Genomic DNA, 15234 nt, shown 5'->3' with positions numbered 1-15234 from the left:
CTTCAACCCAGGGTGCCCTGGTTGAAGTACATCAAGTGAAGCGAGATTATTTTGTAGCTTTAAGATTTAATATCTGCCCAGACAGGCTTTAGGTGTGTGGGGGGCCTATTGGCCATTCCTTTGGACATTTTTTTCCTTTTGTATTAACAATATTTAACCAATATCTGTGGCAGTCTTGCATGTTGGAAGTAAATAACTCTTTAAAACATTTTGCCAGCTCATAGCTGGAGGGAAATTGCCTTAAGACTCGGATAAGACTTTGGAATTTTCAGTTGGAGGTTGACCAAGTTAAGACTTTTGGAAACTATTAAAAAAAAAGATCATTTTGCAACCTCTGAAGGACGTAAGATCAGGGGGCACAAGAGTGAAATGATATAGTTTAGATGATGGTCCCCTCCAAATCTCATGGCGAAATGTGCTCCACAATATTTGAGGTGGGGCCGACTGGGAGATTTTGGGACATGGGGAAAAATCCTTCAGGAATGGCTCAATAACCACCCTATGGCAGTAGGTGAATTATTCCTGTATTAACTACTGGGAGATCTGATTATTAAAAGGAGTCTGATGACCCTCCTCCCCTCTCACGTCCACCCCTCACCATATGACACCGCCTGCTTCCCCTTTGCCTTCCACCATAACTGTAAGCTTCCTGAGGCCCTCACAAGAAGCAGATGCTGGTGCCATGCTCCTCACACAGCCTGCCGAACTCTAAGCCAAATGAGCCTCTTTTATTTGTAAATTACTTGGCCTCAGGCATTAATTTAGAGCAATGCAAAATAGACTAAAACACACTGCCCAAAGCAATATACAGAGTCAATGCAGTTTCCATCAAATAACCAATATAATTAAGTACATTTTTTTTAAATGTCCTAAAATTTATATGGAAGCAAAAAAGAGCCTTTTGATTCCATATAATAGCAAAAGCCGTCCTAAGACAAGGAAACAAAGCTGAAAGCCCCACATTCCCTGACTTCAAATTATACTACACAGTTATAGGAAGAAAGACAGCACGGTACTGGTACCAAAACAAAACAAAAAATATTAGACCAGGTGTGCCTGTAATCCCAGCACTTTAGGTGGCAGAAGCTGGTGGATCACCTGAGGTCAGGAGCTCAAGACCAGCCTGACCAACATGGTGAACCCCTGTCTCTAGTAAAAATATGAAAAACTAGCCAGGCCTAGTGGCCCATACCTGTAATCTCAGCTACATCGGAAGCTGAGGCAGGAGAATCACTTAAACCCGGGAGGTGGAGGTTTCAGTGAGCTGAGATCTTGCCATTGCACTCCAGCCTGGGTGACAAGAGCAAAACTCCATCTCAAAAAAAAAATTAATGTAACAGAATAGAGAGCCCAGAAAGAAAGCCAAATATCTACAACCAACTATTCTTTGACAAAACTGACAAAAATATACACTGGAGAAATAGTCCTCTATTCAGTAAGTCGTGCTGGGAAAATTGGATGGCCACTCATAGAAGAATAAAACCAGGCTTCTATCTCACCACAGACAAAAAGTAACTGAATATGGATTCAATAATTAAATGTATAAACTGAAACTATAAAAATACTTGAAGAAAATGTAGGGAGAATTCTCGGGACATTGGCCTAGGCAGATAAAATATGACTAAGACTTCAAAAGCAAATGCAACGAAAACAAAAATAGATGAAGAGGACTTAATTGAACTAAAGATCTTCTGCAGAGAAAAAGAAATAATCAACATGGTGAACAAACAGCCTACACAATGGTAGAAGGTATCACTTCATCTCAGTTAAGAGGGCTCTTATCAAAAAAGAAAAAAAACAGCCAGGCGTGGTGGCTCATGCCTGTAATCCCAGCACTTTGCGAGGCCGAGGCAGGTGGATCACTTGAGATCAGGAGTTTAAGACCAACTTGTCCAACATGGCAAAACCCTATCCCTCCTAAAAATGCAAAAATTAGCTGGGCGTGTTGGCCAGCACCTGTAGCCCCAGCTACTCGGTAGGTTAAGGCAAGATAATCGATTGAACCTGGGAGTTGGAGGTTGCAGTGAGGTGAGATCACGCCACTACACTCCAGCCTGGGTGACAGGAGTGAAACTCTGTCTCAAAAAGAAGGAAGGAAGGAAGGAAGGAAGGAAGGAAGGAAGGAAGGAAGGAAGGGAGGGAGGGAGGGAGGGAGGGAGGGAGGGAGGGAGGAAGGGAAAGAAAGAAAGAAAGAACGAAAGAAAGAAAGAAAGAAAAAGAAATTAAGAAAGAAAAAAATTAAGAAAGAAAAGAAAGAAAGAAAAAGAAGGAAAGAGAGAAAAAAGAAAGAGAGAGAGAAAAAAGGAAGGAAGGATGGAAGGACAGAAGGAGGGATAGAAGGAAGAAAAGGAAAGGAGAAAGAAAGAAAAAAGAGAAAGAGATAAAAAGAAATAAAGAGAGAAAGAAAGAAAACTAACAAATGCTGGTAAGGTTGGGGAGAAGGTAAACTAGTACAGTCAGTCACTATGGAGAGCAGCGTGGAGGTACCTCAAAAAACTACAAATACAACTACCAAACGACCCAGCAATTCCACTACTGCAAATGTATCCAAACGCATGAAAATAATTATATCAGAGATTTCTTACTCCCAGTGTATATGGCAGGACCTTTCACAATGGCCAAGATATGAAATCAAACCAGGTGTCAGAGAGCAGATGAATGGTTAAAGATTATGTGGTGCATATACATGATGAGATGCTCATCATCCACAGGAAAGGAAATCCTGTTGTTTTTGGCAATGAAGACGGAACTGGAGGACATTATGTGAAATGAAATAAACCAGGAACTTCAAGTAATACACCTTGTTTTCTCACTCATACGTGGAAGGAAAAAGAAAATTTGTCTCATAGAAATAAATAGTAGAACAGAGGATACTAGAGTCTGGGAAGTGCAGGGGAAGAGATAGGCAGAGATTTGTGAAGGAATACATTAGAGTTAGGTGGGAGGAATAGATTATAATGTTCTTTACCACTGTGGGATAAATGTATTTAACAATTATATGTAGTTTCAAACAGTTAGAAGAAGGATATTGAGTGTTCCCAACAAAAAGAAAATGTTTCAGATGACGGATATATTAATTATCCTTATCTGTCCCCTACACACTGTTTCACAACATCGCTATGTACCTCATGAATATTTACAATCATTATTTGTCTATTAAAATTATATTAGAAAACACAAAATTCACTGGAAGTAACATAAATGGAGGCTCTGGGATAGACCTGGAGATAACGGAGGGTCTGGGATACATTACAGGCCTAGCACTCAATGGTCAGAGGAGCTCCCATTAGCTTTTTGTATTTGTAGCACTGAGTAAATCTAACATTTCTCAAAGCTTCCCTTTGCAATAGAGACGTGAGGCCTAGGGAGATCTTGCAGATAGTCAGATATGCAGAGGGAAGAAGCAGGGGTAGAGGGTTGCTGGCCCATTCAACAATAGTTGGAATGATAATTACGCATGTAGAGAAGCCAACATTGATTTAAATAAGTTGCATCACTGAAAGCCATGAAAAAAAATCCAAAGGAAATCTTTAAATAAAATTGAGAGTGAAACTGTTTTGGGTGAAGAAATGTTCACTGAAGTTAGGTGTGCCAGTAAAGCTGTTAAGAACTACAGTAACCACTGGATTGGATTCAGCTTTGTCTGAATTCAGTGTGATTATTACTGGCTCAGGCAGGGGTCAGAAATCAACATGGATAGGTGGTAGCAACACGAAAAAGCCAGGGACCAGAAAGATTCACAGCCGAATTTTTTCAGATGTATAAAGAAGTGTTGCTACCAATCCTAGTGTAACTATTTCCCAAAAATGAGGATAAAGGTCTCCTCCCTAAATTATTCCATGAAGCCAGCATTATTCTGATAACAAAACCTGGCAGAGACTTAATAAAAAAACATGACTTTAGACCAATATACCTGATGCAAAAATGCTCAATGAAATACTCACAAACTGAATACAGCAGCACATCAAAAAGCCTAACCTACCAACACTTTGTTCCTGGGATGCAAGGTTGGTTCAACATATGCAAATCAGGAAATGTGATTCATCACATAAACAGAACGAAAAACAAAAACCATGTTAACCGGCAGGGCACGGTGACTCATGCCTGTAATCCCAGCACTTTGGGAGGCTGAGGCGGGCGGATCATAAGGTCAGGAGCTCGAGACCATCCTGGTTAACATGGTGAAACCCCGTCTCTACTAAAAATACAAAAAAATTAGCTGGGCATGGTGGCGGGCTCCTGTAGTCCCAGCTACTCGGGAGGTTGAGGCAGGAGAATGGCGTGAGTCCAGGAGGTGGAGCTTGCAGTGAGCCGAGATCACGCCACTGCAGTTCAGCCTGGGCGACAGAGTGAGACTCTGTCTCAAAAAAAAAAAAAAAAAAAGAAAGAAAACGTTAACCATAGACACAGAAAAGGTTTTGAAAAAACTTTAAGATTCTTTCATGTTAAAAACCATCAACCAGGCATGAAGGAATACACCACAAAATAATAAGGGCCATCTATGACAAACTCACAGCCAACATTATACTGACTGAGCAAAACCTGGAAGCATTTTCCCCTGAAAACTAGAACAAGAAAAGGACACCCATTCTAACCACTCCTGTTCATCATTGTCATGGAAGTCCCAGCCAGAGCATGCAGGCAAGAGAAAGAAATAAAAAGCATCAAGTCAGGAAGAGAGGGTGTCAAACTATCCCTGCAGATGAAATGATCACATTCCTGAGTCTGTAGTTTGGTGACTGACATTAATTTAAAATATTGTCAGTCATCATTGTTTAAATATTTCTTCTTAGCCTTTCTCTATTTTTTTCTATTTCCCATTATGTGCATGTTATACCTCTGTCACTGTCTCACCATTCTTGGGTAAGCTGTTCTTCTTTTGTATATATGTGTGTGTGTGTATATATATATATGTATATATGTGTGTATATATGTATATATATATGTATATATATGTGTGTATATATGTATATATGTGTATATATGTATATATGTGTATATATGTGTGTGTGTGTGTCTGTGTGTGTGTATATTTGTATTTGTGTGTTTACTGTTCTAACAATATATTTTTTGTTTTTGCTTTTCAGTTTGGGAAATTTCTATTGAGATAGTTTTAAGTTCAGATTTTTGTCCGCAGCTATGCCCCATCTACATATAAGTCCATTGAAAGCATTACTTAATTCTGTTACAAAATTCTTGATATCTACTTTTTTTTCCTTTTTTGGAATTTGCTTCATTCTACTTGCATGACACAGCTGTTCCAGCATGCTGTCTGCTTAATTCATTACAGACCTTAGCATATTAATCACAGTGGTCTTAAATTCTTTGTTTGGTAATTCCAAACTAAATGGCATGGCTGAATCTCATTTTAATGCTTGTTTTGTCTTGTCACACTATGATATATTTCTTTTAGTATATATCATGATTTTTATAGGGAGAAATTATGTATCAGGTGAAAGAAACTGCTGTAAAGAGGCCTTTAGTGATATCATTGTAAGTTGTGGAGAGAAACCTGTTTCATAATCCTCTGGCCATGGCTTCATCTAGGAAGCTTAAGGCCTTTGAAAATAAATCCTTACATGAACGTGAAAAGATAAGCCACAGATATGGAGAATTTCCTCACAAATCAAATATTTGGAAAAGGACTTTTATCAGGAATAATAAAAATTACCTTACAGTTGAATGACAAAACCACATGATCTAATTTTAAAATAGACAAAGACCTGTATAGAAAGAAGCCTCATCTAAAAATAAATATAAAAAGTGATCAGCATGATTTTTAGGTATATGTATGTTTAATATTCAAAAAATACTATATCCTGTTAGAATGGGTAAAATACACATTTTAGACAGTACCAAATGGTGATGAGGAAGTTGAAAAACAGGAACATTCACTCCTTGTGGGTGGGAAGGGGATGCTGAAGAGGCACATACACAACTACAGTTAGTACTTTATTGTATATTTCAGAATAGCTAGAAGATAAGATTTAGAATGTTCTTAACACAAAGAAGTAATCAGTGATGGAGGTGAGGGATATCCCAGGTATCTGGATTTGATCATTGCAGATAACATGCTTTTATCAAAATATCATGCGTATCCCTTAAAGGTTTTGAACTGTTATGTATCTATATAAATTAAACATTTTTAAAAAAACGGTGCAGGGGAATCCAGCTAATTGCAGATTCCCATTAGATGGGATGTGCTGCATAATCTGTAAACTAATCAGAGTCTGTGGGTTTGTAAAGGACTTTAGAAATCAACTGGACTACTTGTTTCTAAAGATAAGTCTCGCAAGTTTAATTATTTTCTTAATGGGTGGCGATTTTGAACATAGAAGAAATGTTAACAGTTGTTTCTCAAGTTTTCTTCTAGTTTCAGAAGAAAAGGTTTGCAGGGAGGAATCTGGGACCATCTTTCAAGTCTCAACTTCAATGTGATTATCTCAGTAAATATTTTCTGATACCCCTGAGCAGGGTAAGTCTCATATATGTCCTAGAAACTGCAAGTAGAATTCTAGGCACCCCAACTGACTGAAGGGAACTTTTCTCTTCAACGAGGAGTTCCATGGACACTAGAAAACCTAGTTTAGGCCGTGTCAGAAATGGAGGATCAGAAATCCCTCATTATACCCTCCTCCCTTTGGAATTCAAGCACAAGTAACCAGCATTTTCCTTAAAACAGATTTAAGGCTCAGAAAACAGATTCCGTGTAGCAGTAAAACACCAAATTCTAACCTGACTCAAGAATAGCATCACATGACAGAGAAAAGGCCTTGGAAGGAATCAAAGTCTTTTACCCTAAAATATATGTCTTTGACATATTTTTAAATCACCCTGCACAGTTATCTTTTTGCAAGAGAAATTTACATTCTGTAGAGAATCGCTTCCCTTTGAAGGTGTTTGTGTTATACTGAGGTATCGGGGGAAATTCAGCCAGATACTGGGAGAAATTCACCCCCGATATTTCACGTAGATTCTTTTCTATTTTCCTTAAGTGTCAGCCGGTCTGAGAAATAAAGGGACAAAGTACAAAAGAGAGAAATTTTAAAGCTGGGTGTCTGGGGGAGACATCACAGTTCGGCAGGTTCTGTGATGCCCCCTGAGCCGCAAAACCAGCAGGTTTTTATTAGTGATTTTCAAAAGGGGAGGGAGTGTACGAATAGGGTGTGGGTCACAGAGATCACTGCTTCACAAGGTAATAGAATATCACAAGGCCAATGGAGGCAGGGCGAGATCACAGGACCACAGGACCAGGGCGAGATTAAAATTGCTAATGAAGTTTCAGGCACGCATTGTCATCGATAACATCTTATCAGGAGACAGGGTTTGAGAGCAGACAACCGGTCTGACCAAAATTTATTAGGCGGGAATTTCCTCGTCCTAATAAGCCTGGGAGCGCTACGGGAGACTGGGGCTTATTTCATCCCCCCGCTGCGACCGTAAAGGACAGCCGCCCCCCGAAGCGGCCATTTTAGAGGCGTTTAGAGCGTTTCTGTCTTCTCTCCCAGTTTCTACGAGTTCCTCCAGTGCCTGTAACACAGAGCTGTTAGTGGCTTTGCCCCTGCCTGTTAATTCTTTGGTCATGTAATGGTGGTGAGGGAGCTGGGTCTGGATGCATTTCAGCCACAGCTGCTGTTCCACTTCCCCACACAGAACCATCTCGGGAGGAAGAGGTTGGAGATTTTTCTGATGTGTCCTCAATCCTGGCAGAAAAGGTTTCAATAGCAATAGGATTCCCTCAGTTGTATGTCCTCTGATAATTTAAACAATAACTTCTTTATTATACTCAACTCTAAACGGTCTAAAGAGTATGTCTAAGTTAACCCTGCATTCGCTTATATGACATTTGCTCTACCCCAGATAAGGTCATATTCTCTTTCTGTTTGTTCCTGCAAGTCACTGACTTTCACAAGATGTAAGGTCCCTTGTTTGTCCTATAACATCAATAATCTGATGTTTTAAAGAAAATATGCTAATTTGCAGCTCAGTAAGTTTAGTTGTAAAAATAATACATTTTTTTCTGAGATGCCTACATCTCCATGCTGAGTTGGAGCTTTATTTGTAACACTCAGAAACTGGAAATAACAAAAATATTAAGGAGCTTTATAAATAGTACGGGCACACTCATTAACTGGAATTCTGTTCCTCATTACAAGGAACATATTCTTTATACACAACCAAACTACTGACTCACAAGTAATTGTGCTGAGCAAGAAGCCACACAAATGAAATGGAAACTGTAAGGTTTCACTTTAACCAAATTTTGAAAAATAGACCTGAAGTAGCAAACATGAGAGACTGACTCAGTGTAGTGAGCGGAAAATGACTGGGAGGCAGGAATTAGAGGAAACTAGGGAAACCTTGAAGTGTAATTCATTGTTATCTTGATTGTTATTTTGGATGCACAGGTAAGCACATGTGAAACTGCATTTTTTCCTTTGGAGACATGGTCTTGCTTTGTCATCCAGGCTGGAGCTCAGTGGTGAGATCATAGCTCTCTGCAGCCTCAGACCCTGCGTCTCCACCAATCTTCCTCCCTCTGCCATACGTAGCTGGGACTACTGGTATGTAAGACAATACTTGGCTTCAGTGCTTATTAAAATGCACACTTTAATTAAGCAGTATTTGTTATACAGCAATCATGCCTCAATAAGAGTATTGCAAATAAGTGGATAGATAATTTGTTCAATAAAGATTGATGGAAAGATAGATGCTAACATGAGAAAATGCATGACACCCAAGAAAATAACACTGTAGGAAACATGCTTTTCTTTACAATTGTTAGGTAATCACAACAGAGCATACACATCACACCATGTTCTCGTTACAGAGAAAAGGTTCTGCAAACCTCACTAGCTGCAACCCCTGTGTGCTGGGCTTGGTTCAGGGAGAAGTCAGGTCCAGTGGTGAGAAGCACAGGCCCAGATAACCAAGCTCACTCTGACCGAATGTGAGCCCTGGGTACATTGTACAACCCATCTGTGCTTCTGCTGGTAATTTTTCATCTGTAACATGGAAATGACATTGATACTATATACCATGTTTCCTCTGCATATGTAAAAATAAAAGGTGATTGGTGCTAACTTTAAATATACACAGTTTATGTACATTGATTGCACCTCAATACAACAGTTTTAAATAGATATTACAACATTATAAGTTTTATAGGTTTAATATTTTATCACAGAACAAACTTTCAATAAGAAACCACAATTTCCAAATGCTATCAATATCACAAATCTCCCCCAGGACACTCTCACATGCTCTGAGCCCCACTCTCTCCTCAGGCGTCCCATCCCAGAGCTTGGCATGTAGTAGGAGACATGCAAATAGAGCCCTCCCTCGGCTTATGAAAACCAGCCCAGCCCTGACCCTGCAGCACTGGAAGAGGAGCCCCAGCCCTGGGATTTTCAGGTGTTTTCATTTGGTGATCAGGACTGAACACAGAGGACTCACCATGGAGTCATGGCTGAGCTGGGTTTTTCTTGCCGCTATTTTAAAAGGTAATTCATTGAGAACTATTGAAATTGAGTGTGAGTGGATAAGAGTGAGAGAAACAGTGGATTTGTGTGGCAGTTTCTGACCAGGGTTTCTTTTTGTTTGCAGGTGTCCAGTGTGAGGTGCAGCTGGTGGAGTCCGGGGGAGGCTTGGTCCAGCCTGGGGGGTCCCTGAGACTCTCCTGTGCAGCCTCTGGATTCACCTTCAGTGACTACTACATGAGCTGGGTCCGCCAGGCTCCCGGGAAGGGGCTGGAGTGGGTAGGTTTCATTAGAAACAAAGCTAATGGTGGGACAACAGAATAGACCACGTCTGTGAAAGGCAGATTCACAATCTCAAGAGATGATTCCAAAAGCATCACCTATCTGCAAATGAACAGCCTGAGAGCCGAGGACACGGCCGTGTATTACTGTGCGAGAGACACAGTGAGGGGAAGTCAGTGTGAGCCCGGACACAAACCTCCCTGCAGGGGTCCCCAGGACCACCAGGGGGCGCCAGGGACACTGTGCACGGGGCTGTCTCCAGGGCAGGTGCAGGTGCTGCTGAGGGCTGGCTTCCTGTGATGGTCTGGGGCTGCCTCATTGTCAAATTTCCCCAGGGAACTTCTCCAGATTTACAATCCTGTACTAACATTTCATGTCTCTAAATGCAAAACTTTTTTGTTCTTTCTGTATTTTTGTTTTTGTAACAGGAGGACACATTCTCGCCTCCACAGAAGCCACAGTGTCACTTTGGGGGCAGATGATCCTTCTGTAGTCAGCAGGATGAAAGTGCAGAGGAATCTCAGTGGAACCTGGGAAGTCTTTTCCAGTTAGACTCAGGGCAGAGACCTCCATGGGAATCTCTGATTAGAACAGGCTTTGAGTTCTGATAGGAGCCAAGAGAGAGGCTCACCCAGGGTCAGAGTCCTTAAAACCTGACGGTTTTCACAGCTATCTCACCTCGTCTTGAAAAACTGTGCACATCTGACTCACACTAATTCAGTTGACCTTATTTCTGCTAATCTATTTTCCTTCTCTGCAGACTTGATTCTCACAGTTCCCTTTCTTCTTCTCTTGCCTGAAAACAGAGGATGTGTTTTCTGTAGTCAAAATCCCAGAGATCAGGTCTGCAGGACCTGGGTAGGCTGAGGGGACTTTCTCACTCACCATAGCCTGGTGACACTCCTGCTGTATTTTGTATGTGGAGGTGTTTGGAAAACGAAGTGAACATTAGTCATGAAGGGAATAATACTAGTTTTCTCCAAAGGGATGTGGATGTAGAGCTGATCTTGTGCTTCTCACACTGTCACAGAATTTATGCTCTCCCCTGTGACTTTAGGAGAGCTGAGGATGGACACTCCATTGTGCTGTGAGCTCTGGTAATAGTAATTATAGGGTCTCGCTAGGCAGCCTAAGGTCAATACTGCTGGCCTTCGGGAAAGGCAGGCTGGGATTCCTAGGAAAACCTGCATCTGCCATCCAGCATGGAGTCCCATCGTCTTCTGTTATGCTCTGATTGAATCAGGCACACCTAGGTTATCTAGAACACTCTTCGTGACTTGGGAAAAATTAGTGGCAGGCTCTACTAAGACCTGCATTATGCCATGGGAGCAACACCTAGGCTAGTGTGTGATTGAGTAGGTGAGACTATGGTCTAGTCAAGGTGACAGGGAAAATTGTTGCCATTATTATGTTTTATTTTATATTTGGCAATATAGTCATGCTCATATTACAAATATCTTTCTACATTTTTTGTGTCAGAAGCTTTTGAACAAGAGCAACTTCATCTTGAATAGAGGCTAGGAAAAATAAGACTGAGACCTGCTGGGCTACATTCCCAGTAAGTTAAGGCGTTCTTAGTCACAGGATGAGATAGGAGGTCTGCACACGATCCAGGTTATAAAGACCTTGCTGGTAAAGGTTACAGTAAAGAAGCTGGCCACAGCCCACCAAAACCAGGATGGCAAAAAAGTGATCTCTGTTCGTCCTCACTGCTCATTATAATGCCTTAACATGCTGAAAGCCACTCCCCTCAGCGCCATGACGGTTTACACATGCCATGGCAACATCAGGAAGGTTCCCTAGATGGTGTACAAAGGAGGGGAGGACACCTCAGCTTCGGGAATTGCCCAGGGGACTCATGAATAATCCATCCGTTGTGAGAAATACATTCATCCCTTTGAGAGAAAATGCACAGGGGGTGGAATGAGGCTGGGAAGCCGATGGCACATGGTGGAAGCCTGTCCCTGAGTGAAAGAGAGGGGGAAGCTGGATTGGGTGGAAGGTCCCTATATTTCTGTGCTGTGCAAGGGAGGGGCAAAATATAATTGAGTCTCTTGTAAGTCAGTGTTTCCTCTCAGGGGATCCCCATGACTCCCAGAAATAATGGCTCTGCTTAGGAATCCCTGCAGAGTCACTCCTTTCATTAGAGTAGACCACAGGACATGGGCCTCAGCACACGCCATGCCACAGATGTCAGAAAGCAGCTGCTGGGAACCTGACCCACCTGCATTTTGCTGCCTGTAGGAGGAGGGAGGGACGTGCATTCTCAGGGCCAACACACTGTTTTTGGATTTTTATAGAGAACACCTGCTTTTACTTTATTTTTTGGAAAAATATATGAACAAATGTGCACCTGCAAACAATTGTAATTTTCACATTTATTTTAATTGCATTTGTTTATAATTGTGCATGAGGTCCTGGTGCAGAGTTGAGTTTTTCATGGGAATTGTTCCAAGAATCAAGAACATCCATTTTCCACTTTCACTGGTTTTTCCCCATGTGCAGAGACCTTGAGTAGAGCACATCTGGCCCTTATCCACACTATCTCTTGTGTCCCCGGGAAAGAGCAGGGATTTGCCTGACTGCAGAATCTAGGGTAGGAGTCTGCACACGTCTGAGCCTGCAGAGAAGCCCAGTGAAGTTTAATGAAGTCAGAGAGCTTTCCCGTGTGGGGAACCTCTAGCTTCCTCACTCTCAGAGATTGCTGGTCAGCTGTAATTGAGGGGTTAAGAATTAGAGCACCTGGGAGCCTGTCTCATCACAGCTCCATTCTGTAACTTACCACCATCAGACTGCAGGTAATAACTCAATCTTGATTTTTCTGACCCCATCTTATTCATTTGTAAGTTTGGTTATACAAAATGTTACATTTTAGTTTCTGATTCAAACCTCAGAATTTTGTGAATTCATCAGGAATAATTAAAAATGTGTCCAGTTTTTGGGAAATGTAAATTAATGTCCATACTGTTTATGTGTGTGTGCGTGTGTGTGTGGGGGGATATGTCAGTCACTTACACCCCAGTAAAAATGATTCCTTAATTATATAGTCGAACTGCAATTAGATTTGCTGAAAATTGTCTACAGTAATTTCTGTGAAGCTGACCTTGCCACCTTGCTGTGAGGATGCTCAGTGCACAGGTGAGGTCTCACAGGAGAGATCCAAGGTTCAGCCCCCAGGACTGGCTGAGCTCCTGGCTTGGAGCCAGACATAGGACTGGGCATCTCAGAAGCAGATCCCCTGGCCCTCCTTTATCTGGGCTGTATGGGCAGCAGAGGACAAGCAGAAGAAACTCAGAATTCAGCCAAGACAGAGCCCCATTTAGGAGCAGGTGCATCAAGGAACCAGCCAGAGAACCTCTGACTACAATCTAGGGTTGTCTTCTTTTGCTTCACAGCATCCAGTCCTAAGGAGACCACCCACTATATCATCTGTAACTCAGAACTTTCTTGTTACAAAGGAAAACACAAATGAATATAACTCTGCAGTTAACTTCTTGAACCTGGATTGATGAGTTTCCACGGCCTTATGAGCACAGAGACCACATCCAGTGCAGGTGCAGAGCAAGGCTGCAACAGTCAGCCTGCTGCTCCCTCAGGAGTCTTCCAATTCCCTTGTCCAAAGCATCCGCTCATTCATGGGCTGAGAAAAGGGAAGTCATTCATGCAGTCTACTCTCTCCACAGAACTGACGGGGCACAAGGACAACATCGATTTTTCATGGAACATGCCTCTAGGAATGCAGCTGTGTGCACACACACTGCTAAGCACACACTTCTTTACATAATTACTTGTAACTGTATTTTCTTATTTATTCTCTCCAATTTTTTTACACAAATTCATCACTTTTCCCCATAATCAAAGAGGATTTTGATCAGAATGCTTGTGGGGAGCCCCTTGCCCCCCAGATGCCCACCATCATTATTCTTGAAGGGAGGAGGAACGGCAGCTCTCTTGATTTCTACTCTAATCCTCTAGGACTAAAACCAGAAGGTTGCATGTCCGGTGCGGGAGCATCGAAGAAGATCCTGTCTGTAGAAGCAGGAGCGTCAAGACTTGACTGAGAGCCATGGTGCTGAAATGAGATAGATTCCCTGATGGAGAGCACACGTGGACCCCCACACCTGAGGGCTCACTGCTCCTCACCACAGATGCACTCCCCTACTGAGTCCTGAGACCTGAGTGCACCCCATAGAGTAGGGCTCAGATGAGGGGATGCAAATCTCCACCAGCTCCACCCTCCCCTGGGTTCAAAAGACGAGGACAGGGCCTCGCTCAGTGAATCCTGCTCTCCACCATGGACATACTTTGTTCCACGCTCCTGCTACTGACTGTCCCGTCCTGTGAGTGCTGTGGTCAGGTAGTACTTCAGAAGCAAAAAATCTATTCTCTCCTTTGTGGGCTTCATCTTCTTATGTCTTCTCCACAGGGGTCTTATCCCAGGTCACCTTGAGGGAGTCTGGTCCTGCGCTGGTGAAACCCACACAGACCCTCACACTGACCTGCACCTTCTCTGGGTTCTCACTCAGCACTAGTGGAATGTGTGTGAGCTGGATCCGTCAGCCCCCAGGGAAGGCCCTGGAGTGGCTTGCACTCATTGATTGGGATGATGATAAATACTACAGCACATCTCTGAAGACCAGGCTCACCATCTCCAAGGACACCTCCAAAAACCAGGTGGTCCTTACAATGACCAACATGGACCCTGTGGACACAGCCACGTATTACTGTGCACGGATACCACAGAGACACAGCCCAGGGCGCCTCCTGTACAAGAACCCAGGCTGCTTCTCAGTGGTGCTCCCTCCCCACCTCTGCAGAACAGGATAGTGTGGCTGAGATGCCATTTCCTGCCAGGGCCTGCGTTTCCCATCCCCATCTGACTCAGAGCCTTGTTTTCCTCCCTCTTCTTTACTAATAAATGGCATGTCCCCTGTTAGTGGTTCATGCAAGCAGAAGCTGTATCCTGTTTGACAAAGATTCAGCATGAAAGGTCCTGCTACCTAAAAAAAAATAGACAGATGAGACTTAATTAACCTAAATAATTTTTTTCACAACAACAGAGTGAATACGCAATTTACAGAATGACAGAAAACTTTTGCACACTTTGCCTGTGACAGGGAACTAATATGAAGAATTTGCAAGGAACTCAAACAACTCTACAACAACAACAGCAACAAGAACCAAATAACTCCGTTAAAATGAGCAAAGGACATGAGTAGACATTTTCAAAAGAACACATAGAAATGGATAATAAATATATAAACAATACTCAACATCACTAACCATCAGGGAAATGCAAATTAAAACCACAATAAGATATCATCTTCCACCAGTCACAATGACTATTACTAAAAACTCAAATAATATCAGATGTTGCTGAGGATGGGAAATGAAGGCAACTCTTAGACATTGTTGATGAGGATGTAGATGAGTACAACCTCTGTGGAAAATGGTATGGAGATTTCCCAGAAAA

The 15234-nt window shown here is 42.2% G+C and overlaps 1 pseudogene, 1 gene segment (V, D, J or C) and 1 further gene, besides 1 other annotated feature; all 3 read left to right on the top strand.

Annotated features, from left to right (window-relative positions):
• The window catches only part of IGH (immunoglobulin heavy locus), a 1293408-nt gene that overhangs the window by 94769 nt on the left and 1183405 nt on the right, over positions 1–15234 (top strand).
• Positions 9458–9919, top strand: IGHV3-71 (immunoglobulin heavy variable 3-71 (pseudogene); annotated as a pseudogene). The gene is given in 2 exon segments: positions 9458–9503; positions 9607–9919. Coding segments are annotated over 2 exon segments (359 nt in total).
• Positions 10248–10297: an enhancer, noted in NCBI's record as "active region_9151". NCBI's record gives its function as "activates an Ori minimal core promoter by ATAC-STARR-seq in GM12878 lymphoblastoid cells {active_cell/tissue: GM12878}" and the evidence as "EXISTENCE:reporter gene assay evidence [ECO:0000049][PMID:35858748]".
• On the top strand, positions 14056–14499 carry IGHV2-70 (immunoglobulin heavy variable 2-70). The segment is given in 2 exon segments: positions 14056–14101; positions 14188–14499. Coding segments are annotated over 2 exon segments (358 nt in total), but the record flags the coding sequence as incomplete, so codon positions are not given.

Source organism: Homo sapiens, chromosome 14 (assembly GCF_000001405.40).
Source record: "Homo sapiens chromosome 14, GRCh38.p14 Primary Assembly".
Taxonomy (NCBI): domain Eukaryota; kingdom Metazoa; phylum Chordata; class Mammalia; order Primates; family Hominidae; genus Homo; species Homo sapiens.
Note: the sequence above shows the minus strand (reverse complement) of the source record. Positions and strands in the feature narration are given on the sequence as shown.